The sequence below is a fragment of the Homo sapiens genome, chromosome 7 (assembly GCF_000001405.40).
Source record: "Homo sapiens chromosome 7, GRCh38.p14 Primary Assembly".
NCBI classification, from domain to species: domain Eukaryota; kingdom Metazoa; phylum Chordata; class Mammalia; order Primates; family Hominidae; genus Homo; species Homo sapiens.
The window spans coordinates 23,441,360-23,468,906 of NC_000007.14; the positions used below are offsets into that span (position 1 = coordinate 23,441,360).

Genomic DNA, 27,547 nt, shown 5'->3' on the forward strand with positions numbered 1-27,547 from the left:
GTCAAGAGATCGAGACCATCCTGGCCAACATGGTGAAACCCCATCTCTACTAAAAATACAAAAATTAGCTGGGCTTGGTGGTGCACGCCTGTAGTTCCAGCTACTTGGGAGGCTGAGGCAGGAGAATCGCTTGAACCCGGGAGGCCGAGGTTGCAGTGAGCTGAGATCGTGCCACTGCACTCCAGCCTGGGGACAAGAGTGAGACTCCATCTCTTAAAAAAAAAAAAAAAAAAAAAAAAAAAAAAGACACATATGTTAAAATTCTGTAGATTTAGGGAAAAAAAAAAAGACTTGCAGAACCTTAACTGCTCCCACCTCTACCAGAAATTGCAAATTACCTACTCAGAGAGTGTGAAAACTCAGTCCAGCTAAGCATTTAAAGTGACTGCCAATTATGACAGTGGTTAAAAATATTATACTTGTATCATTCACATAAATCTGTTTATAAATTGAATAAGATTACTATAAAATGTTAATTATTCTGGCTGGGCGGGGTGGCTCATGCCTTTAATCCCAGCACTTTGGGAGGCAGAGGCGGGCGGATCACCTGAGGTCGTGAGTTTGAGACCAGCCTGGCCAACAAGGAGAAACCCCGTCTCTACTAAAAATACAAAAAAATTAGCCGGGTGTGGTGGTGCATGCCTGTAATCCCACCTACTCGGGAGGCTGAGGCATGAGAATCACTTGAACCTGGGAGGCAGAGGCTGCAGTCAGCCAAGATCATGCCATTGCACTCCAGCCTGGGCAACAAGAGTGAAACTCTGTCTCAAGAAAATTTTTTTAAAAAGTTAATTTTTCTCTTTCAAAATTGTAAATTAATGCTTTTCTGTCTCCCTAGCACCTAGGCATAATGGTTGTCATTGGCAGGGCTCAAAACATAAGTTGAAAGAAAATGAAATTTCAAGTAAGCAATGGAAATCAAACTGCAAACATCAACAACATTAAAATGTAATCCCTTAAGGCAGATTTATCAGTTGTGTAACGGATTAATGTCATCTTAGGTTTTATGCAAGGTCAATAACATAGAATAACATTCCATTTTTGTTTTGTTTTTTTTAGATGGAGACTTGCTCTGTCACCCAGGCTGGAGTACAGTGGCCTGATCTGAGCTCAGTGCAACCACCGTCGCCCGGGTTCAAGCAATCCTCCTGCCTCAGCCTCTGGAGTAGCTGGGATTACAGGCACCCACTACCACGCCCAGCTAATTTTTGTATTTTCAGTAGAGACAGGGTTTCGCCATGTTGGTCAGGCTGGTCTCGAACTCCTGACCTCAGGTGACCCACCCACCTCAGCCTCCCAAAGGGCTGGGATTACAGGCTTGAGCTACCGAGCCCAGTCTGTTTTTTTCATTTTTAAAATAACAAGAAATAACATATTATAATCAGACTTTGCATATACCAATCTCTAGATTTTAAGGAGTTACAGTTTCAATTTTAATTTATAAATATTCATTTTACATGTTTTGATGTTATTTTACTAAAATGTCCATCTAGTCCTTTGATAAATTCAGAGATTTATGGTGGCAGTATGTAAACCAAATTAAAATGTACCATAAAACCAGGTAACTAGAATTTTATGTTTAATCAAACCATTTGGAAGCAGTTTAGTGAAATTTCAGTATCTTAAATTATACTGTTATTAAACTTATTTTGAAAAAGTTAAATATTAATACTGAAACACAAATCGTCCACAACCAAAAGTAAACCGTATCAATCAGATCTACATATTTAAACATTACAGTGATTTTTTTTTTTTTTTTTTTTTTTTTTTTGAGACTGTGTCTTGCTCTGTCACCCAGGCTGGTGACACCACACCCAGTGCAGTGGTGCGATCTCGGCTCACTGTAAACTCCGCCTCCCAGGTTCAAGCGATTCTCCTGCCTCAGCCTCCAGAGTAGCTGAGATTACAGGCATGCGCCACCACTCCCAGCTAATTTTGTATTTTTAGTAGAGACAGGGTTTCTTCATGTTGATCAGGCTGGTCTCGAACTCCCGACCTCAGGTGATTCACCTGCCTCGGCCTCCCAAAGTGCTGGGATTACAGGCATGAGCCACCGCGACTGGCCTATTTTTGTATATTTTAGTAGAGACGGGGTTTCGCCATGCTGACCAGCCTGGCCAACATTGGGAAACCCCATCTCTACTGAAAACACAAAAATTAGCCAGGTGTGGTGGCATGCACCTGTAATCCCAGCTACTTGGGATGGGAGGCTGAGGCAGGGGAATCTCTTGAACCTGGAAGGCAGAGGTTGCAGTGAGCTGAGATCACACCACTGCACATTCCAGCCTGGGCTACAGAGTGAGATTCCATCTCAAAAATAATAATAATAATAAGCAAAAATAAAAAATAAAATATACAAGATTTTCTGGGCTGGGCACAGTGGCTCATGCCTATAATCTCAGCACTTTGGGAGGCCAAGGAGGGTGGATCACGAGGTCAGGAGATTGAGACCATCCTGGCTAACACGGTGAAACCCCGTCTCTACTAAAAATACAGAAAATTAGCCAGGCATGGTGGCACACGCCTGTAATCCCAGCTACTCAGGAGGCTGAGGCAGGAGAATCGCTTGAACCCAGGAGGCGGAGGATGCAGTGAGCTGAGATCGCGCCACTGCACTTCTGCCTGGGAAACAGAGGGAGACTTCGTCTCAAAAAACAAAATACAAAACAAAAAAAACACCATTAGAATTAAATTTAGAGCACTGAACAAGTTCCAGTTAATACAATGTGTTGTGCATATGCTATTTAAAAAGACTGCTCTGAGGTTTTCAGAGGTTTGGGGGTTTTGTTCTTTTTTTATTTTTGGTTAAACATTGCACAACACATTTCTTCTTTCCATCATAATTGGGGTAAACCACATGCTGGAGTTTCCTGAATATCAGAAAAATCTTTAACAAGTACAATAATGAAACCTAAGATATTATTAATATCCTATTAATGACAAGATGTTTAAATAGGTTATAATGTATTATTGACCTACATATGGGTGAATATACTTTACTCCTAAATCAAGTCCACTACTTTAATAGTATTTAACATATCACTTTACTGCAATTATTCCCTATCCCACCTTCCAAAGAACCTTTAAAATTGCTTTTTAGGTCAGGTGCGGGGGCTCACACCTGTAATCCCAGCACTTTGGGAGGCCAAAGCAAATGGATCACTTGAGGCCAGGAGTTCAAGACCATCCTGGCCATCATGGTGAAACCCCCATCTCTACTAAAAAATACGAAAATTAGCTGAGCATGGTGGTAAGTGCTGGTAATCCCAGCTACTTGGGAGGCTGAGGCACGAGAATCGCTTGAACCTGGGAGGTGGAGGGTGCAGTGGGCTCAGATTGCAACACTGCACTCCAGCCTGGGTGACAGAGCAAGACTCTGTCTCAAAAAAAAAAAAAAAAAAAAAAATTGCTTTTTAAAACAGTGAGGTAGTTGGGTTCGGTGGCTCATGCCAGTAATCCCAGCAATCTGAGGCCGAAGGAGGAGGAACACTCAAAGCCAGGAGTTGGTGACCAGTTTGAGCAACATAGAGTTCCCATCTCTACTAAAAATTTAAAAAGAAAGCCATTAATCAGGTGTGGTCTCAGCTCCTCAGGAAGCTAAGGTGGAAGGATTACTTCCATCCAGAATTTAGAGGCTGCACTGAGCTATGATTATACCACTGCATTCCAGCCTGGGCGGCAGAGTGAGACCCTGTCTCTAAAAAACAACAATAAATAAAACAAAACAGTAAGGTATGGTGCTAAGTCGTATTTTTTCTAAAAAAGCATACATTCACAGATGCTCACATATACATGTAAATTTTCCCTAAAGGAACACAATAAACTGCACAGTAGTTGCATTTGAGGAAGGAGAAAAATAAAGTATCATTTAAATTTTGCCATGTGCACTGTTTTTCTAAAACCTTCCAAGCTTTTTAATTAATTTAGAGAAAACTACTTTTACTTAGTTCCTGTGGGTGTTTTGTATACAGTGTAACTAAGTATTACTTAGTTCCTATGGGTGTTTCGTATACACTATAGAGTATTATTTAGTATGACTAAGTAAAACTGCTTTTACTTAGTTCCTGTGGGTGTTTTGTATACAGTGTAACTAAGTATTACTTAGTTCCTACGGGTGTTTCGTATACACTATAGAGTATTACTTAGTATGACTAAGTAAAACTACTTTTACTTAGTTCCTGTGGGTGTTTTGTACACAGAAAATAGCTTAAGATTCCATTAGATTTGTTTCGGTATGTACATTATTCATCAAGAGACCTAAGAATAAATAGGAACACTGAAGAAGCGTGTAACAATGCTTTACCAATATTGTTATAGATAGCACATCAAAATGCCAGAGACTGGGGAAAAATGCATGATCATGAGCTAAAGTTAGACTGGTATGGAAAAAATAACCTGCAGGTGATTAACAATTACCATAAGTGACATACACAACATACAATAGTTATGTTTAAGTAGAGGGCAGTATCTGAATTTAAGGCAATGCATCATGTATATGAAGAATGACCTTATTTCCACTAGTTGTAAGATATCCCCAGAAAAGTATTAGATTTATTACATTTAGGTAGATAAGTCTGTAGTAAGTATAAAGCTGCTCGTCTAAAATGAAGCACAAAACAAATTAAAAGAAAAAATAAAATGAAGCACAAGCAAAGATTTCATCTTTGAAATTAGATGATCATAATCTTTGGACATTAGATGGTCATAATCATCTTTCCCTCTGTGCTGAATCATTGCCTTCAGAATACCACCACGTTAATACACTTGCCTTTAAAAAACCTCACTTCCATAGTCTGAGCAACAAAATAACAACTGTAACATGTTATAATCTATGCAATAAGATTCCATGAGTCTAATATTAATATAAACAAAGTAAATTGGGGAAAGTAAAGTTTATTCCAAATAATAAATGTAGATGCCCAGTGTGGTGGCTCATACCTTTATGTAATCCCAGCACTTTGGGAGACCAAGGTGGGTGGATTACCCGAAGTCAGGAGTTTGAGACCAGCCTGGCCAACATGGTGAAACCTCATCTCTACTAAAAATACAAAAAATTAGCTGGGCATGGTGGCGGGCACCTGAAATCCCAGCTATTCGGGAGGCAGGAGAATCACTTGAACCCAGGAGGCAGAGGTGGCAGTGAGCCGAGATCGCACCACTGCACTGCTGCCTGGGCGACAGAGCAAGACTCCATCTTGAACAAAATAAAAAACAAATAATAAATGTAGAAAAAATAAAGAGAAGTAGAAAGCCACTATTTGACAGCCACTATAGTAGCAGTGACAGTTGCTGACAAGAATCATCAATGGATGCTAAAATTAGTGAAAGTATTGAGAGACAGAATCTCTACATTGTCTCAAAATATCTCCCCACAAAGTTCTTATTACAAAAGAAAAAATAGTAACTTTACCCTGAAGAAGCCTGGCAGACACTACTTAACCAATTGGTCAAAGTTACCACCACTACTGAAACAAAAATCAACAAACACCATGTGCCTCTAGATGAGGTGCACTGAAAGCAATATCACTTCTGAGGAATTCCATCAAAAATGCCTCACCTGGTGCCAGGCACGGTGGCTCATGCCTGTAATCCTAGCACTTTCGGAGGCTGAGGCAGGAGGATCACTTGAGGTCAGGAGTTCAAGCCCAGCCTGCCCAACATGGTGAAACCTCATCTCTACTAAAAATACAAAAAATTAGTCAAGTGCAGTGGCGGGCACCTGTAATCCCAGCTACTTGGGAGGCTGAGGGAGAATCACTTGAACCCGGGAGGCAGAGGATGCAGTGAGCCGAGATCGCGCCACTGCACTCCAGCCTGGTCGACAGAGTAAGACTCTGACTGACACACACACACACAGCCTCACCTGATGCTAACCATGGGAGACATCAGATAAACCCACATTGAGGGGCATTCCACAAAATAAACAAACAAACAAAAAACTAGCTTATACTCCTCAAAAACAGGAAAGTCATTAAATCAAATGAAGGATTACAGGTCGCTCATGCCTGTAATCCCAGCACTTAGGAGGCCAAGGCAGGTAGATCACTTGGGGCCAGGAGTCTGACACCAGCCTGGCCAACATGGTAAAATCCCGTCTCTACTAAAAATACAAAAAAATTAGCCAGGCATGGGGTGTGTGCCTGTAATCCCAGCTACTCGGGAGGCTGAGGAATGAGAATTGCTTGAACCTGGGTGCGGAGGTTGCAGCCAGCCGAGATCCCACCACTGCAGTCCAGCCTAGACAACAGAGCAAGACTCTGTCTCAGAAAAAAACAACAACAACAAAAAAATGAAGACCAAGGAACTGTCCCAGATTAAAAGAGACCAAACAGGCTGGGCATAGGGACTCACACCAGCAATCTCAGCACTTGGGGAGGCTGGAATTTGGCAGGCAGATCTACCTGAGCTCAGGAGTTCGAGACCAGCCTGGGCAAAACAGTGAGATCCTGTTTCTACAAATAAAATTTAAAAATTAGCCAGGCATGATGGTGTGTGCCTGTAGTTTTGGCTACTCAGGAGACTGAGGTGGGAGGATCCCTTGAGTCCAGGAGTTCGAGTTGCAGTGAGCCATGGTCACAGCACTGCTCTCCAGCCTGAGTGACAGAGCAAGACTGGCTAAAAAATAAAAATAAAAAAAGACAAGAACCTATCCAGTGATAAAAGTCAGCCAGTTATTTTTTACATTTAACTAATATTTACCCAGGGCAAGGAAAGCTGTCTGAAACATGTCAGAGGCCGGACTCTCCATTTGGTCATCCTTAAAAATACAGTGAGTGACCACAAGGTTCCAGCCTCAAAATGTAAACTGTCAGAAGAAATGTTGATGGGGTCCTGAAATCATTATTAGATTTTGTTAAAGTTTTAGGAATAACAGAAGGAAACAAATGCTATTCATTTCCTTAGGCACGACCTGGTATCAACATGTAGGGTTCATTTCAGTTTGAAGAACTTAAGTGTATCGATAGATGCCCAGATGTCCAAATTCATTTCATCCTCCTCATGTGTACTTGTTTTCAGCAGTCCTTAACTGTTTATTCTAAACACTTATCTTTTCAAAAATACATTTTAGAGACAGGATCTCACTCTGTTGCTCAGGCTGGAGGGCGTAGCACAACCACAGCTCACTGCAGCTCACTGGGCTCAAGCAATCTTCCCACCTCAGCCTCCCAAGTAGCTGGGACTACAGGCATGCACCATCACACTCAGCTAATTTTTTATTTTTTGTAGAGATGAGGGTCTCACTATGTTGCCCAGGCTGTTTGTTTGTTTGTTTGTTTGTTTGTTTTTTTGAGGCAGAGTCTCGTTCTATCACCCAGGCTGGAGTGCAGTAACCTGATCTCAGCTCAGTGCAGCCTCCACCTCCTGGGTTCAAACGATTCTCATGCCTCAGCCTCCTGAGGAGCTGGGACCACAGGCCACAACACCACACCTGGCTAATTTTTTTGTATTTTTAGTAGAGATGGGGTTTCACCATGTTGGTCAAGCTGGTCTCGATCTCCTGACCTAAAGTGATCTGCCCGCCTTGGCCTCCCAAAGTTCTGGAATTACAGGCATGAGCCACTGCATCCAGCCACCCACCCTGTCTTGAACTCCTGGGCTCAAGCAATCCTCTGGGCTGCAGTTTCCCAAAGCGCTGGGATTACAAGCGTGAGACATCACACCTGGCAATATTTTATCTTTCATGCACTTAGATTTTTCTTCTTTTTGTTTAGAATTTGACATTTTTTCATTTGCTTATCTTCCTATACCGATTTATTATCTTTTTTTTTTTTCCAAACTGACTTCCCTATCAAGGCTAATATGCCATGGAATTGCATAAAATCCTCACTTGCTCTTGTTATGATGTAAATACATATTCACCAGAATACCTGATACAGGCCGGGCGTGGTGGCTCATGCCTGAAATCCCAGCACTTTGGGAGACCGAGGCGGGCAGATCACGAAGTCAAGAGATCGCGACCATCCTGGCTAACACGGTGAAACCCCGTCTCTACTAAAAATACAAAAAATTAGCCGGGTGTGGTGGTGGGCGTCTGTAGTTCCAGCTACTCGGAAGGCTGAGGCAGGAAAATGGCATGAAACCGGGAGGCAGAGCTTGCAGTGAGCCGAGATAGCGCCACTGCACTCCAGCCTGGGACACAGCGAGACTCCGTCTAAAAAAATACCTGATACAATTTTTTTTCCTTTTTCTTTTTCTTTTTTTTTTTTTTTTTTTTTTGAGAGAGTCTCACTCTGTCGCCCTGGCTGGAGTGCAGTGGCGCAATCTTGGGTCACTGCAAACCTCCGCCTCCCAGGCTGAAGGGATTCTCGTGCCTCAGCCTCCTGAGTAGCTGGGACCACAGGTATGCGCTACCACACCCCGCTCATTTTTTGTGTTTTTAGTAGAGACGGGGGTGGTTTAACTCTATTGGCCAGGCTGGTCTCGAACTCCCGACCTCAAGTGATCCATGTGGCTACCTCAGCCTCCCAAAGTTCATGTGAAAGGCATGAGCCATCACACCCAGCCACCTGATCTAATTTCAAACCACACATTAGAGCAGAGCAGCCATTCTCAAAGTATGGTATAAGGAATCCCTGACACACTTTCAGGAGGTCCAAGAAGTTAAGACTATTTTCCTAATAACACTAAGATGTTATTTGCCTTTTCTGCTGTGTTGTATTTGCACTGGTAGAGCAAAGGCAATGATGAGTAAAGCTGCTGGTCCTTAGCATGAAGCAATGCAGTGGCACTGAACTGTACTAGTAGTCACTGTATTCTTCTCTGGCATTTGCAGCGAAGAATTATGCAAACTGTTTAAAAATGTCCTAATCTCAATCCTTCAGTATACATCCTTTTATGATCTGTATGAAGAAAAGGGAAGCATGCATAAAGCACTTCTGCTACCTATCCTGGTTGTCTGCACAAAAAGCACTGTGCAGTTGTTTGAGTTGCAAGACGAACCAGTCAAGCACCGTTTCTACCTGAAGAACTAGAAGCAAAATGTAGTTACTTAAAAACTTGAGTATCTGGCAGATATTTTCTCAAAAAGGAATAAAATGAGTCTGTCACTTCAGGTAAAACGATTTTCCTGAAGTATCTGTTGCCAAATGACTAAATTTGAGCTTTTAAGTAAAAACTAGTATTTTGAAAAACTTCTATCTATTACCAATGAGCTTTGACAGCCTCCCAATCCTCGTGGATAAAGATCCTTTCCGAGTATAAGACAATCAATGGATTCTTTTTGTAACAAGTACAAAAAAAATTCACTGATATGATTTCAGATTCCACATTGAAACTAGACTTTAAAAAAACTACCACTTGGTGTTACAGCTCTTTTAGAATTTGTCCAGCAGGTGGTTTTCCGGTCTTTACCAGTAAGCCCCCACCCCCGCACCTCCGCAAAAAAGCTACCACTTGTAGCTGGGTGCAGTGGCTCACGCCTGTAATCCCAACACTTTGGGGAGGCCAAGGCACAAGGATCACTTGAAGCCCAGGAGATCAAGACCAGTCTGCACAACATAGTGAGATCCTGTCTCAATTTAAATTTAAAAAGGAATTTTTTTTTAACTACCACTTGTCATATTTTGATGTAGCACCAAAGAATATCTGTAATTATTTATACTCCTTCCTTTTCTAAACACATATCCATATGTGGCTGGATTTTCCTCATATACTTCAATCAAAACAATACATGACGACAAACTGAATGCAGTAGTAGTTACCAGTTTCCAGTTGCCTCTTAGGCCAAAGAAACTTACAAAAATGAAAAACAGTTCTCTTTTATAAGAGTGTTTTAGGGCCAGACGCAGTGGCTCATACCTCTAATCCCAGTACTTTGGGAGGCTGAGGTGGGCGGATCACTTGAGGTCAGGGGTTTGAGAACAGCCTGGCCAACATGGTGAAACCTGGTCTCTACTAAAAATACAAAAACTAGTCAGGTGTGGTGGTGCATGCCTGTAGTCCCAGCTACTCGGGAGGCTGAGGCAGGAGAATCGCTTGAACCCAGAAGCGGAGGCTGCAGTGAGCTGAGATTGCATCACTGCACTCCAGCCTGGGCAACAGAGCAAGACTCTGTCTCAAAAAAGAGTTTTTTATTTAAAATTTTATGATAACATGTAATGGGTTTTTTATAAAACCCCTATCATTCCAGGAGGCTGAGGCAGGAGAATCGCTTGAACCCAGGAGGTGGAGGTTGCAGTGAGATGAGATTGCACCATTGAATTCCACCTTGAGCAACAACAGCTAACCTCCATCTCAAAAACAAAACAAAACAGACCTCTATCATTCCTTATAACTGCTACAAAATATGCCACAGAATATATCGTTAGGGCTGGGCACGGTGGCTCACGCCTGTATTCACAACACCTTGGGAGGCCGAGGCAAGCAGATCATTTGAGGTCAGGAGCTCGAGACCAGCCTGGCCAACGTAGTGAAACCCTGTCCTACTGAAAATACAAAAATTAGCCTAGTATGGAGGCAGGCGCCTATAATCTCAGCTACTCAGGAGGCTGAGGCAGGAGAATCACTTGAACACGGGAGGCAGAGGCTGCAGTGAGCCAAGATTACACCACTGCACTCCAGCCTGGGCGACAGAGCAAGATAAAAAAAAAAAAAAGGAATATATGGTTAGAATAGGGTATGTTTTCTTTTTTCCTTTTTTTTTTTTATTTATTTTTTATTTTTTGAGATGGAGTCTCCCGCTGTCACCAAGGCTGGAGCACAGTGGCGTGATATCAGCTCACTGCAAGCTCCGCTTCCTGGGTCCACGCCATTCTCTTGCCTCAGCCTCCTGAGTAGCTGGGACTACAGGCGCCCGCCACCACGCCCAGCTAATTTTTTGTGTTTTTAGTAGAGATGGGGTTTCACCGTGTTAGCCAGGATGGTCTCAATCTCCTAACCTCGTGATCCGCCTGCCTCAGCCTCCTCAAGTGCTGGAATTACAGGCGTGAGCCACCGCACCTGGCCAGAATAGGGTATGTTTTCTTTTGATGGCCATTTAGGTTATTTCCTATTTTTAACTATTAAACAATATGGAAAAAACACATGTCTTTTTGCCAAGTATGTCTTTGTAATAGAATACTACAAGTGAAATTGCTGTTATGGAGAAAGGAATTAAACATGCCTCAAAGTTACAAATAGTTGAACATTAAAGTGCTTATTCTTTCCCTTTAAAACATGGGTTCCCCCAGGCGTGGTGGCTCATGCCTGTAATCCTAACACTTTGGGAGGCTGAGACGGGTGAATCACGAGGTCAGGAGTTCAAGACCAGCCTGGCCAACATGGTGAAACCCCATCTCTATTAAAAATACAAAAAATTAGCTGGGCAAGTGGTGGGCACCTGTAATCCCAGCTACTCGGGAGGCTAAGGCAGGAGAATCGCTTGAACCCAGGAGGCGGAGGTTGCAGTGAGCCGAGATCGTGCCATTGCACTCCAGCCTGGGCAACAGTGCGAGACTCATCTCAAAAAAAAAAAAAAAAGTGGGGGGCGCACAGGGCTGGGCGCAGTGGCTCACACCTATAATCCCAGCACTTTGGGAGGCCGAGGCAGGCAGATAACGAGGTCAGGAGATCGAGACCATCCTGGCCAACATGGTAAAACCCCATCTCTACTAAAAATACAAAAATTAGCTGGGCATGATGGCGCACACCTGTAGTCCCAGCTACTCTGGAGGCTGAGGCACGAGAATCCCTTACCCAGCAGGCGGAGGTTGTAGCGAGCAGAAAGGTTGCAGTGAGCCGAGATCGCGCCACTGCACTTCAGCCTGGGTGACAGAGCGAGACTCCGTCTCAAACAAACAAACAAACAAAATACAAATAAACATGGGTTCTTGCTGTGTTACCCAGGATGGTCTCCCAAAGTGCTGGAATTACAAGTATGAGCCAAGCACCTTGGCCTTAAAGCACTTTTAAACAAGAAGAAAAAAGGAAGGACTCTCAGTATTGTCTTCCTTTACAAAAATTCCCCTTCTACAACTCAAAGATAGGCAATTGCAAAATGTCCCAAACAGTAAAATTAGAGCTAGAGATCTTTTTTGCTCGAAAAGTAGACAACAGTGTTAGTTTCAGATTATCTGTACGATACTGTTAAAATGTGACGTGTAATATAGTATAACCTAAGAATTCTGTGTTTTACAGACTCCCACCTACTAGAGACCCTTTTTACCAATTCCTGCTTGGCGATTTGGATGGAGCTCTTTTACAATATTGTACGATATTGCTGATTAAAACTGTGCTTACAGATTACACAAAGCCATGAGGACTGGGTTGTTTTCCATAACACTTAGTTGAAAGGTATTCTCATTTTAAGTTCTAATAGATACTGCCAAATAGTGTGCCAAGAAGTCTTTGCCAATTTACTCTTTAGCTATATGAGTGGCCATGCCTCCACAACCTTGCCAACACCAGATACGGCCAATCTTATTCATTTTTCTCCAACCTCATAGGCAGAAAATGTCATTATCGTTGGCACTTCCCTAATAACTAGTTAGACAAGGGTGTTTTTTTTGTTTGTTTTGCTGTTGTTGTTCTTTGAAATAGGATCTCACTCTATCGCCCAGCTTGGAATGCAGTGGTGCAAACCTGGGCTCAAGCCATCCCCCTGCCTCAGCCCCCCAGTTAGCTGGGACTACAGGCACGCACCACCATGCCTGGCTAATTTTTGTTATTTTTTGCAGGGACGGGGTTTCGCCATGTTGCCCAGCCTGGTCTCAAACTCCTGAGCTCAAGCGATTCATCCAAGTGCTGGGATTACAGGCATGAACCACCGTGCCCAGCCTAGATTGGATATCTTTTTGTACACAGACTGACTTTTCAGCTGTGCCCTTCTGAACTGCCACTTCTCATCCTTCGTTCATTTTTATACTGTTTCTACCTCTTTGGAATTAGGAATTCATCTCCTGGTCTATTATTTCCTTTACGTATGATCTCTCCTAAGATAATTCCATAACTAAACACATTTTAGGGATTCTAAGATCCATGCACCTAGATATAAAGCACCAATTCTTAACTTATTCACAGTGCATAACCCATATTTTACAAAGAAATGTGAAACACTCCTATGTCTCCGTATATATGAAACATAAACCATAAACCACGGGGTCATACGGGAATAGGCACACCCATCCCCCATTTTCCACTACCACATGGTAAACACACAAACTTATTAGTGAGACAATATCACTTTAGTACCAGATAATCCAAGAAGTCCTTTACAGACATTATCATTTAATTCCCAACAACCCTCTGCCATAGGTCTTATTACCCTCATTTACAGATTTTAAAAACAGAAATCTCAGAGTTTAATCAGTTTGCACAAGATCACAGGGCTAAGCAAAGGTTCCTACTGAGGCCTGTGTAGCTCCAAGCAAGATGCCACTGGCCCACCCTTACCACTGTGCTGTACTGCTGTCCCCAACTTTAGGTAGTAGTACGTGCACACAGAAGTGTCTATCACATTTTTCTCCAAAGGTTCATTACATCACTTGGGATGTCTTTAACAAAAATCATATAATACCAGGAGCTTTAACCAGCACCATTGATTGTCTTGCCACAGCTAACCTTAAAAAAATTACATGGGCTCAGTCAACCTTATTATAAGATTCCTAGTCCTGTATCACAATTTGCCTTAATTACCCTGTCAGAGGATACCCTAAGAACAGCTGTGAACTCCATGAAATGTTTTGGGAGCATAGCCAGACCCATGCTTATAAAGTACTGAAGACGCAAAAGTTCAGTGGGATCTCTGGTGAGCATTTTCCAAAATTAACCTAGGCATCAGTCTTCCATGATAATCCCAAATCAGCATTTGCTAAATGGCATGAACTAAACTACTTAGCTCCTAAAGTCAAACACATGAAGAATGAGAATAATGCAGTCACTCCATCACGCACGCAGGCTGCTCCAGCTGCCCTCTCCGCTCAGCCTCAATCACCATCCTGCCTCACACTCCAGCCTCTTTAATCTCAAACAGCTTGTAGTTCCCACACACACCCCAGGATGTTTCACACTTACATGAGGTGGCTCCTGCTGTCCCTTCTGCCTCTTCCCTCCTGGGTGCACACGGTTATTAGCCTCTGCCTATTTTCACATCCCTCTCTGAATGTATTTCTCACTGGTAACAACCAGGCTAAGCCTAATAATGCTCCCTCCTCCTATGTTCTGGGGCATCTCACATATACCCTATGACATATTGACAACTTCTCTTTACTTGGAGAGATTTTAACCCACCTTTAGGATCACTACCACAGTGAACCACCATTACTGTTGAAAAATAAAAAGACTGTCACCCAGGAAATCAGACAGAACAAAGTGAAAGCCACTGTACTCCATGTCTTTCTTCAGGACAAGGGTCTTACTATTTTTTTTGGAGACGGAGTCTCCCTCTGTTGCCCAGGCTGGAGTGCGGTGGCGCGATGTCGACTCACTGCAAGCTCCGCCTCCCGGATTCGAGCCACTCTCCTGCCTCAGCCTCCTGAGTAACTGGGACTACAGGCGCCCGCCACAACGCCCGGATAATTTTTTGTATTTTTAGTAGAGACGGGGTTTCACTGTATTAGCCAGGATGGTCTCAATCTCCTGATCTCGTGATCCACCCGCCTCTGGCTCCGAAAGTGCTGGGATTACAGGCATGAGCCACTGCGCCCGGCAGGGTCTTACTCTTCTTTCTAGCCCCTGAAACCTAGCATAGAATCAACTATGAGCACAGGCACTTAATCTATGCTTGTTAAACTAAAAATTTACATAAGATATTAAGTCATTTCAGAAACTCAAAAAAATGCAAAAATAGGTAAACTCGCATACAAGAAATACAGAAACTAAAAATTTCAACTTAACTCTCCAAAGAAAGAGCAAGAGCTTCTCCATTTTTTGCAAAACCAGCTGGAAAAAAAAAAAAGACATCTGGGGAGAGCTCAGTCACTTTTCAACCAGCATTTTTTTTGTTGTTTTTTTAACCACTATTACCACAGGTTCTCTTAACTAGATTCTCTCATTATCTGCCCTGCTGGGACCAAAAGCTGAGTAGCACCTTCTTTTGGAAGCTAATTCTTAATCAAATTCCTCCTCAAAATGTGGACCTTCTTGAAGTTTCCTCCGCAAGAAACTACTGTTAGTTTCTGAAGTAGGATGCAAAATTTAAGGTGCTAAGTACGGGAGAGCATGAGTCCTAGACATCTTAGCTATAAGGTATCAGAACTTCAGCTTTACAGCTTTTTACTTAATTTTTATATACAAGGGGCACAAATGAAATGGGCAAAGACTTGTCAGAGTTAGCACATCCATGGTAGAAGAGTGTGTTCCTACAATTATATAGTCCTCCATGTTTGATGAGACAGTTCTTACTCAAACGGTCTCACTGCACACTTCATTGAAAGAAGCTCTTTGTTGTCAAACTTATAACTAATTATGTCAACATAAGAAATTTAGTTTTGAGGCCAGGCGCAGTGGCTCACGCCCGTAATCCCAGCACTTTGGGAGGCCGCGGCGAGGGGATCACGAGGTCGAGATCGAGACCATCCTGGCCAACCAATATGGTGAACCCCGTCTCTACTAAAAATACAAAAATTAGCTGGGCGTAGTGGCACGCGCCCATAGTCGCAGCTACTCGGGAGGCTGAGGCAGGAGAATCCCTTGAAACCGGGAGGCGGAGGTTGCAGTGAGCCAAAATCGCGCCACTGCACTCCAGCCCAGTCGACAGAGCAAGACTCTGTCTCAAAAAACAAAAACAAAAACAAAGAAGAAATTTAGTTTTAGGTTTTTCAGAGAGCTTTCAAATTTAAATGTCCACATCTTTTGACATAACAATTCCCAGTTTAAGAATTTACGTTATAAAAATTCTCAACCAGGGGCTGAGTGCGATGACTCACTCAGTACTCCCAGCACTTTGGGAGGCTAAGGCAGGAGGATCACTTGAGGTCAGGAGTTCAGAGACCAGCCTGGCCAACATGGCAAAACTCCGTCTCTACCAAAAAATACAAAAATTAGCCGGGTGTGGTGGCACACACCTGTAATCCCAGCTGCTCAGGAGGCTGAAGCATGAGAATCCCTTGAACCCGGCAGGTGGAGGTTTCAGTGAGCAGAGATCGCGCCACTGCACTCCAGCCTGGGCGAGACCAAGACCCTGTTTCAAAAAAAAAAAAATTTTTTTTAAACTTCTCAACAAGAAGTCTGATGGCATACACGTAGGTACACTTGAATAAAGTTACTATGAAAAGGATGGCTAAATTATTGCACACCTATGCTGAACAATGCATCTGTTGGTTACAAAAGAGAACTATTTGTACCTACATTGAAGATTCTTCAGGATACATTATTTAGTAAAAGCACAAATTATAAACAGTATGATTTCATTACTATATTCAAAGATGTCTGTGGACACATGCATAGAGCTTCTAGAAAATATATTCAGCAACGAGTGTAAGCAAGCCCTGGGAACTACTAGAGAGAGTGAGGATTGAAAAACATTTTCCACATTTTATGTATTTTGAATTAATCTGAATGTGCACATATGTAAAAATTATCAACCTGTTTAATATTTATACAATCTGTTGTATCTATGTTGTATCTGAACAAAAAAGGTAATACATGCTCATTGTAAATTAAAAACACACCACCTGCAGATTATTACTTGAGTCCACATCCCAAAAGAGAACAAAGATCTTCCATGTTTCTGTTATCACCATCAAATCTATTTACATCCATCCAGCTTCCCCATCTGAATCTCAAGGAGAAAAATACAACGGCTTCCATTGGAATGACTACTGGGTGACGTTGTATTCATCCTTTACACACATTGTCCAACAGGATCCTATGAAGCATCATGTCCATTCTAACTTCCCAAGACCTCAAATTCCTCATCCTCAAGCTACAGCATGCATTTAGTAAGTGGAGCTGGAAATCAAGCCCAGATCTAGACCTCATATCCCACAAAACAAGCCCAGATCTAGACCTCATATCCCACATCCTCCTGGCTTTTCCCTTCAGTTCAACAAAGACACATGTGGCAAGCAACCAGTCTCCTCACCGAGAGGTTTCAGCATAGTTTCTCCTTCCTACTCTCCTGTTCCTCAGCAGTATCTCACATTCAAGACATTTTTTTCTGCATGTCAGGGTCATACAAAACTTGCTAACAAGCTGAGACAGACAGACACCGTGGACTCCACTCCAGATACCTCTACCTCTTGCAATCTAAGAACATATCCCCAGGAACCACAATCAGCCTCCTGAGACAAAGCCGTGACATCTACCTCCCCATGCCCTCTGCTCTAACCTCCTATCTCTTTAGGCCCCTCTCCAACTTCTCCGCAAGCCACTTATATTAAGATGAAGCTACTAAAAAACACATTGAAACAAAAAAAGTCTCATTTTTCTGTCTTAAAACAGGATATCCATGTTTTTATTCTACAATAAGCCCTGGGGCACAGACTACCTGTATACTAGTCTTTTTCCTAAATAAAGAAGATAAATCAACCCTTCAAAAAAGCCAAACAGGATTTCTGTACTTAGAGAAGGCAAGAAATAGGACATCTCTGCTCTGACTTGCCACTGCAAACATGATTGGGCTCCTGTGCAAGCTACTTTGAGGATTTGGACAACTTAAATGGGAGGGATGAAGTCAGGCAGAGTTGCAGCAGGTGGCAATGGGTTCCCATGATTATCTGGAGGGCCTTAGGCAGGTTGCTTCTCCCAGGGTTCTATGGAGAATCCTTTGGTAAAGCATCTACTGTGCTATCTCATTTTTATTAGTTTTCCTTTCTTATAATATTTAAATACATCCTGGAAGTAGTACTCTATTGATCAAAGGACTTGCATAGACAGCAGAAAAGTCTCGAAAGGAGTTATTCAGAACAAGTCCCCTATCTCAAAATCAACTGATCTAACATATCACCCAGTTTTTGATTAATAGTTTTGGTCACTATTGTGACCAAAGACAGGATTCATAATTGGGGAAACATGCTACTTTACCAAGGACCAGATTTTTTTAAATGTAAAAATGAGGGAATTTAGCTCCTCCCAAAAGATTTCTTCTATTTCTTTTAGCAAAAGTTTAATGAACAAAATGGAAGGAATACTTAATTTATGCCAGTGCCCTAAAATAACCAGGTAAAGGTATTTTAAACCTGGCTCATGATATCCATAAACGTTTTGGCCAACAGTTTCAACCTCTGCTTGTCAAATCACGCATTTAGACCACCATTTGGAAGAACTGGACTTGGGGCCAGGTGCGGTGACTCAAGCCTGTAATTCCAGCACTTTGGGAGGCCGAGGTGGGCAAATCACAAGGTCAGGAGTTCGAGACCAGCCTGGCCAACATGGTGAAACCCCATCTCTACTAAAAATACAAAAATTAGCTGGGTGTGGTGGTGTGCGCCTGTAATCTCAGTTACTCGGGAGGCTGAGGCAGGAGAATCACTTGAACCTGAGAGGAGGAGGTTGCAGTGAGCTGAGATCATACCATTGCACTTCAGCCTGGGCAACAAAGTGAGATTCTGACTCGAAAAAAGAAGAAGAACTGGACTTGGTCTACACTCTTTTGGAACCTAAGATAGGTTCAGACAATTTTCCCAATGTTATGTTAATAAGAAAGCAGAATGAATTTGTAAGAAAGTGAAGGCCAGGCACAGTAGTTCACGTCTGTAATCCCAGCACTTTGGGAGGCCAAAGTGGGAGGACCGCTTGAGCCAAGGAGTTCAAGACTAACCTAAGTAACACAGCAAGACATCGTCTCTACTAAAAATTAAAAAAAAAATTAGCCAGACGAGGAGGCATGTGCCTGTAGGTGCCTGTAGTCTACACCTGTGATCACTGCACTCCAGCCTGGGCAACCGTGCGAGACCCTGCCTCAAAAAAAAAAAAAAAAAACAAAAACGAAAGTGAGCTCACACTCACCAGAAATGTTAAAAAAGTGCAAGAGTAGATCAACTGGCCAGGAGCGGTAGTCCCAGCACTTTGGGAGGCTGAGGTGGGCAGATTACCTGAAGTTATGAGTTCAAGACCAACCTGGCTAACATGGTGAAACCCTGTCTCTACTAAATATACAAAAAAAAATCAGCCAGGCATGGTGGCGGGTGCCTGTAATCCCAGCTATTCAAGAGGCTGAAGCAGGAGAATCACTTGAACTCAGGAGGCAGAGGTTGCAAGTGAGCCAAGATCGCCACTGCACTCCAGCCTGGGTGACAAGAGTGAAACTCCATCTCAAAAAAAAAAAAAGAGTAGATCAATCGTCATTTGTCACAGACAAGCCTTGTCCATTGAGTCAGAGGATCTACTGAGGAGATTCTTCCATCTCTAACATATACATAAGTACTCAGATATTTCTAGAAACTAAGAAAATGCCAGGCACAGTGGCTCACGCCTGTAATCCCAACACTTTGGGAGGCCGAGACAGGTGGATCACCTGAGGTCAGGGGTTCAAGACCATTCTGGCCAACATGGTGAAACCCTGCCTCTACTAAAAACTACAAAAATCAACTGGGCATGGTGGTGCGCACCTGTAGTCCCAGCTACTTGGGAGGCTGTGGCAGGAGGACCTCTTGAACCCGGGAGGCGGAGGCTGCAGTGAGCCAAGATCGCACCACTGTACTCCAGCCTGTCAACAGAGCAAGATTCTATCTCAAATAAATAAATAAATAAAAAACTAAGAAAGTGAACAAAAATTGAATAAATGAATTCTGAAAGAAAGGTTACATCCCAGGTTGCTCCAAAATTTGTAAATCGTTCTCCTTCTATTTACAGCAGAGCCAGGCCGAGATTTAACACCACCCTCACTCACTTATTCATCCATCTACATCACTCTCGGTGGTATTCTACACAGCTGATTACACCCTCCTTCTCCACAGGCTTTCTTCATTTATCTCCCAGAAACAGTTTGCCCTGCTTGCTTTCTTCTACTTTACTGTCCTTCCTCACCCTCCTTTGCTGGTCTTTCCTTCATCCTACAGCCATAGGCTCAGTCCCTTGATGATCATGTCCAATTCCATGGTTTCAAATGCCACAAGCTAATGAAGTCTCCAAATGTCACTTCTATGTCCCATCTCCCCCTGAGCTCCAAATTGATATATCTGCCTACTAACCTTCTTCACTTAAATTTCTAGTAAGTATTAGAAACACCATATCAAAACCAAAGTTCCTATTTTCTACCCAAGAATCTGCTCCTCTCCCAATATTCTCCATTTTGGTAAATGGCACCATCTTCCACCCAGTTGCTCTGGCCAAAAAATCTTGCAATTCTTCACTTTTCTGATACTCCTCAGCTAATCCATCAGCAAATCCTGTTGGCTGTTCCTTACAGCTATACAGAGAATAGCCACTACTCATTACCTCCAAAGCTAGTAACATATCATCTCCTGCCGGAATATTACAACTGTGCTAAATGCAATTTTCAGGTATTTTCTGTTGCAAGCATTTTGAAACCACTACTCCACCCTTCCTTCAATTTGTGGAAGATGACATACAAAGATAGCCACCATCAATTCCTCTCTCGGTACATGCATGCCACTCTACCAACTAAAGATGGAGTCTATTTCCATATCTCCCCTGAATCTGAGCTAGCCTGATGACTTGCCTTAATCAATAGAATGTGACAGAAGTAATGTGCCAATTCTGAGCCCAGCCTTTAAGAAGACTAGCAGCTTCCATTTTCACTTAGGGTAAGATCAGTCAACTCTGCCAGGAAAAAAAAACTCCAGCTTCTTCTGAACAATAAGGTATCATTTGGAGAAAGGTTACAAGGACGGCCAGTTACATCAGCAAAGATTCCCTGGTCCTTTTAGCCCAGTTTAGTAATGGACCTGAGTGGCACATGTGGATCAGAAACCACCACCTAACAGACACAGAATGAGAAAGAATAAATTGCTCTGAGCCACTAAGTTTTGGGGTGGTTTGCTTATGCAGCAATAGATAACTGATATACCATAACCACAATAGAATCAGCTCCCTCAACAACTAATAATAATGCAATAATGCCAGACATTCTAAAGACTTAGGCTCCTTTCAGCTTATAGTTCAATAGATTCCTCTAAGAATATTTCTTTTTTTTTTTTTTTGAGACGGAGTCTTGCTCTGTCACCCAGGCTGGAGTGCAGTAGCGCGATCTCAGCTCACTGTAAGCTCCGCCTCCCAGGTTCACGCCATTCTCCTGCCTCAGCCTACCGCGTAGCTGGGACTAAAGGCGACCGCCACCACGCCCGGTTAATTTTTTTGTATTTTTAGTAGAGACGGGGTTTCACCGTGTTAGCCAGGATGGTCTCGATCTCCTGACCTCGTGATCCACCCACCTCGGCCTCCCAAAGTGCTGGGATTACAGGTGTGAGCCACCTCGCCTGGCCCAAGGATATTTCTACAATAACTTTAAACTATTTCCTAATCAAGTTATATGGTCTCAGGATAATTCTCTAAAATATCTATAGTTTATGTACTACAAAGTAGTCCCCTTCAGGGCAACAAAATTCACAGAATATGTCAATATTTAGAACTGTGTTTATTTACCAATACTGAATACTTGCCAAACAGCAATTTCAGACCATGATACATTACACCCTTAATTTTAATGGAACACTCAAAACTATGTATGCTTGCCATCAGCCTTCAAGCAAAATTCTGGCAATCCAAGCCAATTTGTAACATCAGATTTATGGGGCTGAGATCTTAACTAAGAATACCAATCCTACCCCTTGGTCATTGCTACCACACTGCCACCTCCTGTCTTATGACTCTGGAAGCTTGAATCAGAGGCAACAGTTGATAAAGGAAACTCAGCTAAGAATAGCACAGCTAACCATCTCGTCTTTCCGCCTCTCCTTCCTCCCAGACCAAACCAACCACCAGAGTTACTGAATGGATAACTCACACCTTCCAAAAATTAGTTATTGCTAGAAAAGTTGCTGCCTGGATGCTGCTGCTAAAAACAATTATAATGGAGTCACTTCAAATACATGAAGGTAGTTTGACAGCTTCACTTTAATACAAAATCCCAATCCTATAACCACACATTAACTAAACTTGTGTCGCTCATAATAGTTTCAAAGCGTGGCAAAGATCATTTCCCCCTTGCTAACTGCATGAAAGAGGTACACAGGCAAAAACAACAGAGCTACAGAAAAAAAATTTAAGTCAAGCTCCTTACAGGAAAAACCCCAGATCTCTGTAATTCCAAAAGATATTTTTAAGCCTTAGCTGATAACCTATTTATTTTGAGCACAATGGCAAAACCTCAGAACAAAATACTATATACCCCTTGTAGTTTATCATAATGGCATCTGGCCTGAAAAGAGAATGTAACTGATCACACAAATCAAAAGGAAAGCCAGAAACAGAAGCCAAGATTCTCGATTTCCACTGGCTCCTGGCACATGTCATGTTTCCGTAACATCTTCCTCAGAGTTACTGTGGACAGCCATACAGTAGAAGCCACTTATCAACATGCATCTAATTTTTTTAAACTCTTATTAAAACCAAAGTAAGAAATCTTTCAAGATCTCTGAATTTGTTTTGAGAAAATATGAAATTAGGAAAAAAAATCTTTTTAGCTACAACCACTTAGGCAATCCCACGCTGATCTTAAACTGAGCACTTGAAAGATAACCTAGTTTATAATTATTTAACCAGCCAAGAAAGTTTCCTAACATTCAGAACCTCAAGTCTCTGCATGTGTGAGAAACTTTCCCGAATCGCAAGATTCACCTAAGCCATACACTGATAAGGAAGGAGTACCACTGCTATTCGTACCTGTGTTTAAACGTTCTACATTAAAAACAGCTTTTGCTGTCCTAAGACTTTGAAGTCGGAGGCAGCATTGAAGGATCATGTGCCCTGGCTAATGGGCACGTTGCTGGTCATGACACTAGCCTATTCTATCCTTAACACCTATTAAAATGCAACACTAGCTTTTAAATAGCCACTTAAAGTAAGTTACATTTAAAACCCCGATGACTTTTATAAGTTCTATCCAATTTACATTTTAAACACAAGACTAATATGGAAATAAGTTCTTCACTTTCTTTTTTGCATTTTCCCCCACTTTTACTGTGGTAAATACACATAAAATTTACCATCTTAATCACTTTTAAGAGTACAATTCAATGGTGTTAAATACATTCATAGTGTTGGGCAACTATCACTGTTTTCTTTTTTAAGGAAACAAACAAAAAACAACGTTTGAGCTTAGGCACCACAGTCTGTTTTAAAAGATCTTACTCTAAATTAGCCAGGCATGGTGGCGCATGCCTGTAATCCCAGCTACTAGGAGGGCTGAGGCAGAAGGATCGCTTGAACCTGGGAGGCAGAGGTTGCAGTGAGCCGAGATCGTGCCACTGCACTCCAGCCTGGGCAACAGAGAGAGACTCCATCTTAAAAAAAAATAAATAAATAAAAATAAAAATAAAAATAAAAATAAAAATAGAAAAAATCCTACCCTGAAAGGAAGAAAAAGGTAAAGGATCCTGCCTAGAAAAATATTAACTATAATATCCTATTATTTTTTTCTCCTTTCTTCAAATGTATTTTTCCTACACATAATCCTAAACAATGCCAACCGCTAAATCATGAGGAAGTTTAATAAAAATATGCTTAGGTTCTTCATCACATAGGAGGCAGCAACAACAACAAAAAGGTTAGGTTCTAAAAAACTGAACATATGAAAAATTATTTTCGTAATTTTAAAAAGTAATGGAAATTGAACTAAAACCACCATCCTCTCAGTTCCCCAGTGTCAGCAATTTTCCTCTTCCCTCTCCCATGCCCAACAGCCCACAACATAACAAAAAAGGACATCAGTGCTATTTACATAATCACATAGGGGCACAAACAAGGCCCCACAGGATACCAGCAGCTCTTCCAACCAAACACAGCTACAACATTTCCAAGTACCAACTATTTTCCACACCTACCCTTACTTCCAAGGTGGAGGGAAAAAAGTTGAGCCTATACTTCGGAGTCAAAGTCTTCATGTTCTGTATCTTTTATATTTAGAATAGAGAGTGCAACACTATCACAGATATCCAATGCAATCTTCTCTTTAGTCCAGCTGCAGGAGACTTCAATGTCTGTAAAGTAACTGCTATAATCTTCCCCAACTGAGGGGTATCTGAATGCAGAAAAGCCACATTCCTTCCACATTCCCTTGAGACCTCAGTAATTGGGAGCTAAGCTTGGTCTGAACCAAATTCAACCTTACTACTTCCTGAAAGGGTCCCCCCCCAAGCTCCACTGGAAGTCAAAGCCAGGCCAGCCTGCCAAGCCTCCAATCACCTCCTGGGCCTGCTCCCCTGTTTAGTCAGTGCAAGCCCATTCATCCATCTCAGCGTGCATTCTCCAGCACCAGGTTCCTGACATGCCTTGTATATCAAGTACAAAGGTCACTGCTGCACATGTGGGTGTGCCTGCCTCAGATGCCCACATGATGATGGGATGGAATGAAATGACTGCTAAGCAGAAAGAACTCCACCCTAAAGTCCAGCAGGCTTGGCAAGGATTGGTTTGTGGCATTCAACTATCAGAGCAACCCCCATCAGTCAGTACAACCTCTTGACCTTCCCTTAGGTGCTGGGCATGTGGTCACCCTGATGCCTTCTCTGCCCGCTTCCAGAGCCTATGAAAATGGTGGAACAGTCCAGATATAGGAAACTGCATCACAGCTCCAAGGGTCAGTTAAAATAACTGTAATATAGATTTCCAGAGGCAGAGAAAAAAGGTTTTTTTTTTTTTTTGAGGTAGAGTTTCACGCTCTTGTTCAGGCTGGAGTGAAGTGGCACGATGGCTCACTGCAACCTCCAGCTCCCCAGTTCAAGCAATTCTCCTGCCTCAGCCTCCCGAGTAGCTGGGTGGGATTACAGGCACCTGCTACCATGCCCAGCTAATTTTTGTATTTTTAGTAGAGATGGGGTTTCACCATGTTGACCAGGCTGGTCTCGAACTCCTGACCTCAGGCGATCCACCCACCTTGGCCTCCCAAAGTGCTGGGATTACAGGCGTGAGCCACTGCGCCCAGCCAAAGGCTCTACTTTTAAGACATTTCAACACAAGCAAGGAACATGATTGTTCTATCAGTAAAAACAACCTCCAATGTTCTCATCCCTGTTTACTTTGTTAGTAAGATAGTACTGTATCATTTAAAATCCTGAGCATTTTAATGAACTTGAAAATTCAATTTACATTGTTAAAAATGAACTTGAAAAATGAACTTGAAAATTTAAATCTACATTGTTAATAAACTGAAGATACATTGATAAATACTTGCTGTCACTGGTGACATCTTACCTTATGTGCTTTCCTAAAGAGGAACTCCTGTTTATTATAAAGTAACAAGTAACTAAGTATATATATGCTTTTGGACTAAGCAAAAGCCTTTAAGAATAAAACAGGCAGTTGTTAACAGGTAATGTTTTTAAATTAATCCCCTACACCTGGGGAGAAATTCCCATCGGTTAGCAAAAGAAAAGCAGCAGGGGAAGGCACAGTAATCTGTATTTACATGTAGCTCGATGAATTGTAAAAATCCAAAACATTTCATTTTTAAATTTAGAAACTCTCTCAAATGTTAAAATGCCAGTCCTTGAGGCACAACCATTTGCTTATTTATTCAACATTTTAACAAAATTAAGACATACTGACCAAACATAATAACAATTAGAATTTGTAAAATGGGCTTATGTTTTTTTCCTAACCAATTCAGGCTATGGCTTTAAGCTTCTTTTTACGGGAATATGACTTCTCCCTCGATTTTCAATTCTTGTTAAACCAAGCTCAATTTATATGAAAATCATGTGACCCCTACCAAAATTCCCAACTAGAACTAAATCTATCAGGTCACTCAAATCCCTTTCAATTATCTTAATGAAATTTAAGTATGAGAACAAGAAAAATCCAAACCAACTCATCCTTAAAAACAAGATTTGTGAAAATGCTTTGCCTGGGAAGAGAGCTGAAATCTACACAGGCATACAGATGAGATGTTTTGTAGCCATCTATTTCTGCACAGCACCAGAGAAATGCATAGCAAACCCTCCTGCTCTCCAGCACACACTCTCTCACCAATATCTAACCAGATACACGCAGCCCTGATTTAAATTAACTTTCAGCTTATTATTTGGCTCAGGTTGGGAGTTGGGGGGATGGGAGAGGGGCAGGCAGAAACCCTAACCCCACCATGCAAAATCCAGAAAGGCTTAGAGGCCCACCCCGGTGCGACTGGGAGGGAGCAGTGCCTTTCCAATTGCAGTTAGAGCCGGAATCTATGGTGTGAGTTGGCTGAAGGTTTTAAAAAACAAAACAAAACAAAAAAATAGAGCCGGAATCCGGCCTGCTCTAGCGAAAGGAAAGGAGTCTCCACTGCTCCATAAGGCTTCATAAGAAAAAGAAAAAGGGAAAGAGCCATGTCTCCAAAATGCTTCAGAGGCTAAAACAGTCTATAAACATTCTGTAAAGCGACATACTACACACATGATCTCGGAGACGAGAAATCCCCGTCCTTAAGTAGTACGAATCTTCCTGTCTTCATCTTTTGGTGGTTGTAAGCAAAAATGTACCCAGGAGGAGTGGGGTGGAAAGCGGGGAGACAAAGGTGCTGACTGCAGGAACCTGTAGAACTTCGGAGTGACTCAAAGGCACTTCTGGGCCAGAGAGGCCCCAGCGTTTACGCACGCGTTCCAATACCCCTGGCGAGCTCACAGGGCAGAGGCAAATTCCTCTCCACTCGGCCGCGCCCACGGCCTCCCAACCCCGGACAGAGAAGGAAAGGAGGGACCCCCGCGTGTCCGCAGCTGCTTTCGCCTCTCCTGCTCCTGGAGGGGTGGGGGAATCATCCGCTGCTTCCCAAGCCCTGCAAACCCCCCAAACTGCTTGTTGGGACCCATTTCCCGTAGGAGCAATTTGACCCGCTCGGACCGAGGACATTCAGCTGTGAGCTTTCGAGAGATTTTGTAACCAATAACCATAATCCCGCGGCAGAGGCCACAGAAAAGCTTTCAATTCCTGCCCAGCATCATCAACACACACACCCCCGCCATAAACTTAAAAGCAAGGATTAAAGACCGGAACACCACGCCACACGGCAGGGGGTAAGCACCAGAGGACAAGAAGTTCTCAGCTGAGTCTCTCCACCCAATAACGGAGTGAGAACAGAATCGGGGCAAACAGAAGCAGCAGCTCACCTTTGCCTTTTTGGGACCGAGTGCTCAACTTCTATGGGTTTCCCGTGCAGTTCTATTTTACCTGCGGACACACAAGAAGTGAGACGGTCGGCCGAGTTCAGCGGCTCTCCCTGCCCGAAGACCCGCACAGCCCAAGCGGCGACACAAATGGCCTCCTGAGGCCCTCGAAGGGCCCCCGAGGCCCGGACGCGGCTCCAGGCGGAGGGAGAAGCCGACCCCCTCGAGCGGCGTGGGCATTTAACTCGCAGATGGTTGGGGAGCAGGGTCCGCTGGCGGGCCCACTACTTGGGTATCAGTCCAGTCTCCAAGCCTCCCCCACCCACCCCTGGGGGCCACCAACACCACGAGGCCCGCAAGAGGGACGCGGCCCACCCTCTCACCGCCCTGGACACGCTCCACAGGGCAGACTCGGGGCAGGGGGCTCC

The 27,547-nt window shown here is 42.9% G+C and overlaps 1 protein-coding gene and 1 pseudogene across 5 annotated transcripts in view, besides 1 other annotated feature; one reads left to right on the forward strand and one right to left on the reverse strand.

The window, feature by feature from the left end:
* The window catches only part of IGF2BP3 (insulin like growth factor 2 mRNA binding protein 3), a 160,283-nt gene that overhangs the window by 131,151 nt on the left and 1,585 nt on the right, over positions 1-27,547 (reverse strand). For all 5 annotated transcript variants that reach the window (NM_006547.3, XM_011515089.3, XM_047419782.1 and 2 more), the window contains exon 2: positions 27,123-27,183. In NM_006547.3, coding sequence (NP_006538.2) covers positions 27,123-27,183 — 61 coding nt within the window. The remainder of the gene's footprint in view (positions 1-27,122; positions 27,184-27,547) is intronic.
* On the forward strand, positions 9,299-9,363 carry RNU7-143P (RNA, U7 small nuclear 143 pseudogene; annotated as a pseudogene).
* Positions 26,491-26,540: an enhancer, noted in NCBI's record as "active region_25726". NCBI's record gives its function as "activates an Ori minimal core promoter by ATAC-STARR-seq in GM12878 lymphoblastoid cells {active_cell/tissue: GM12878}" and the evidence as "EXISTENCE:reporter gene assay evidence [ECO:0000049][PMID:35858748]".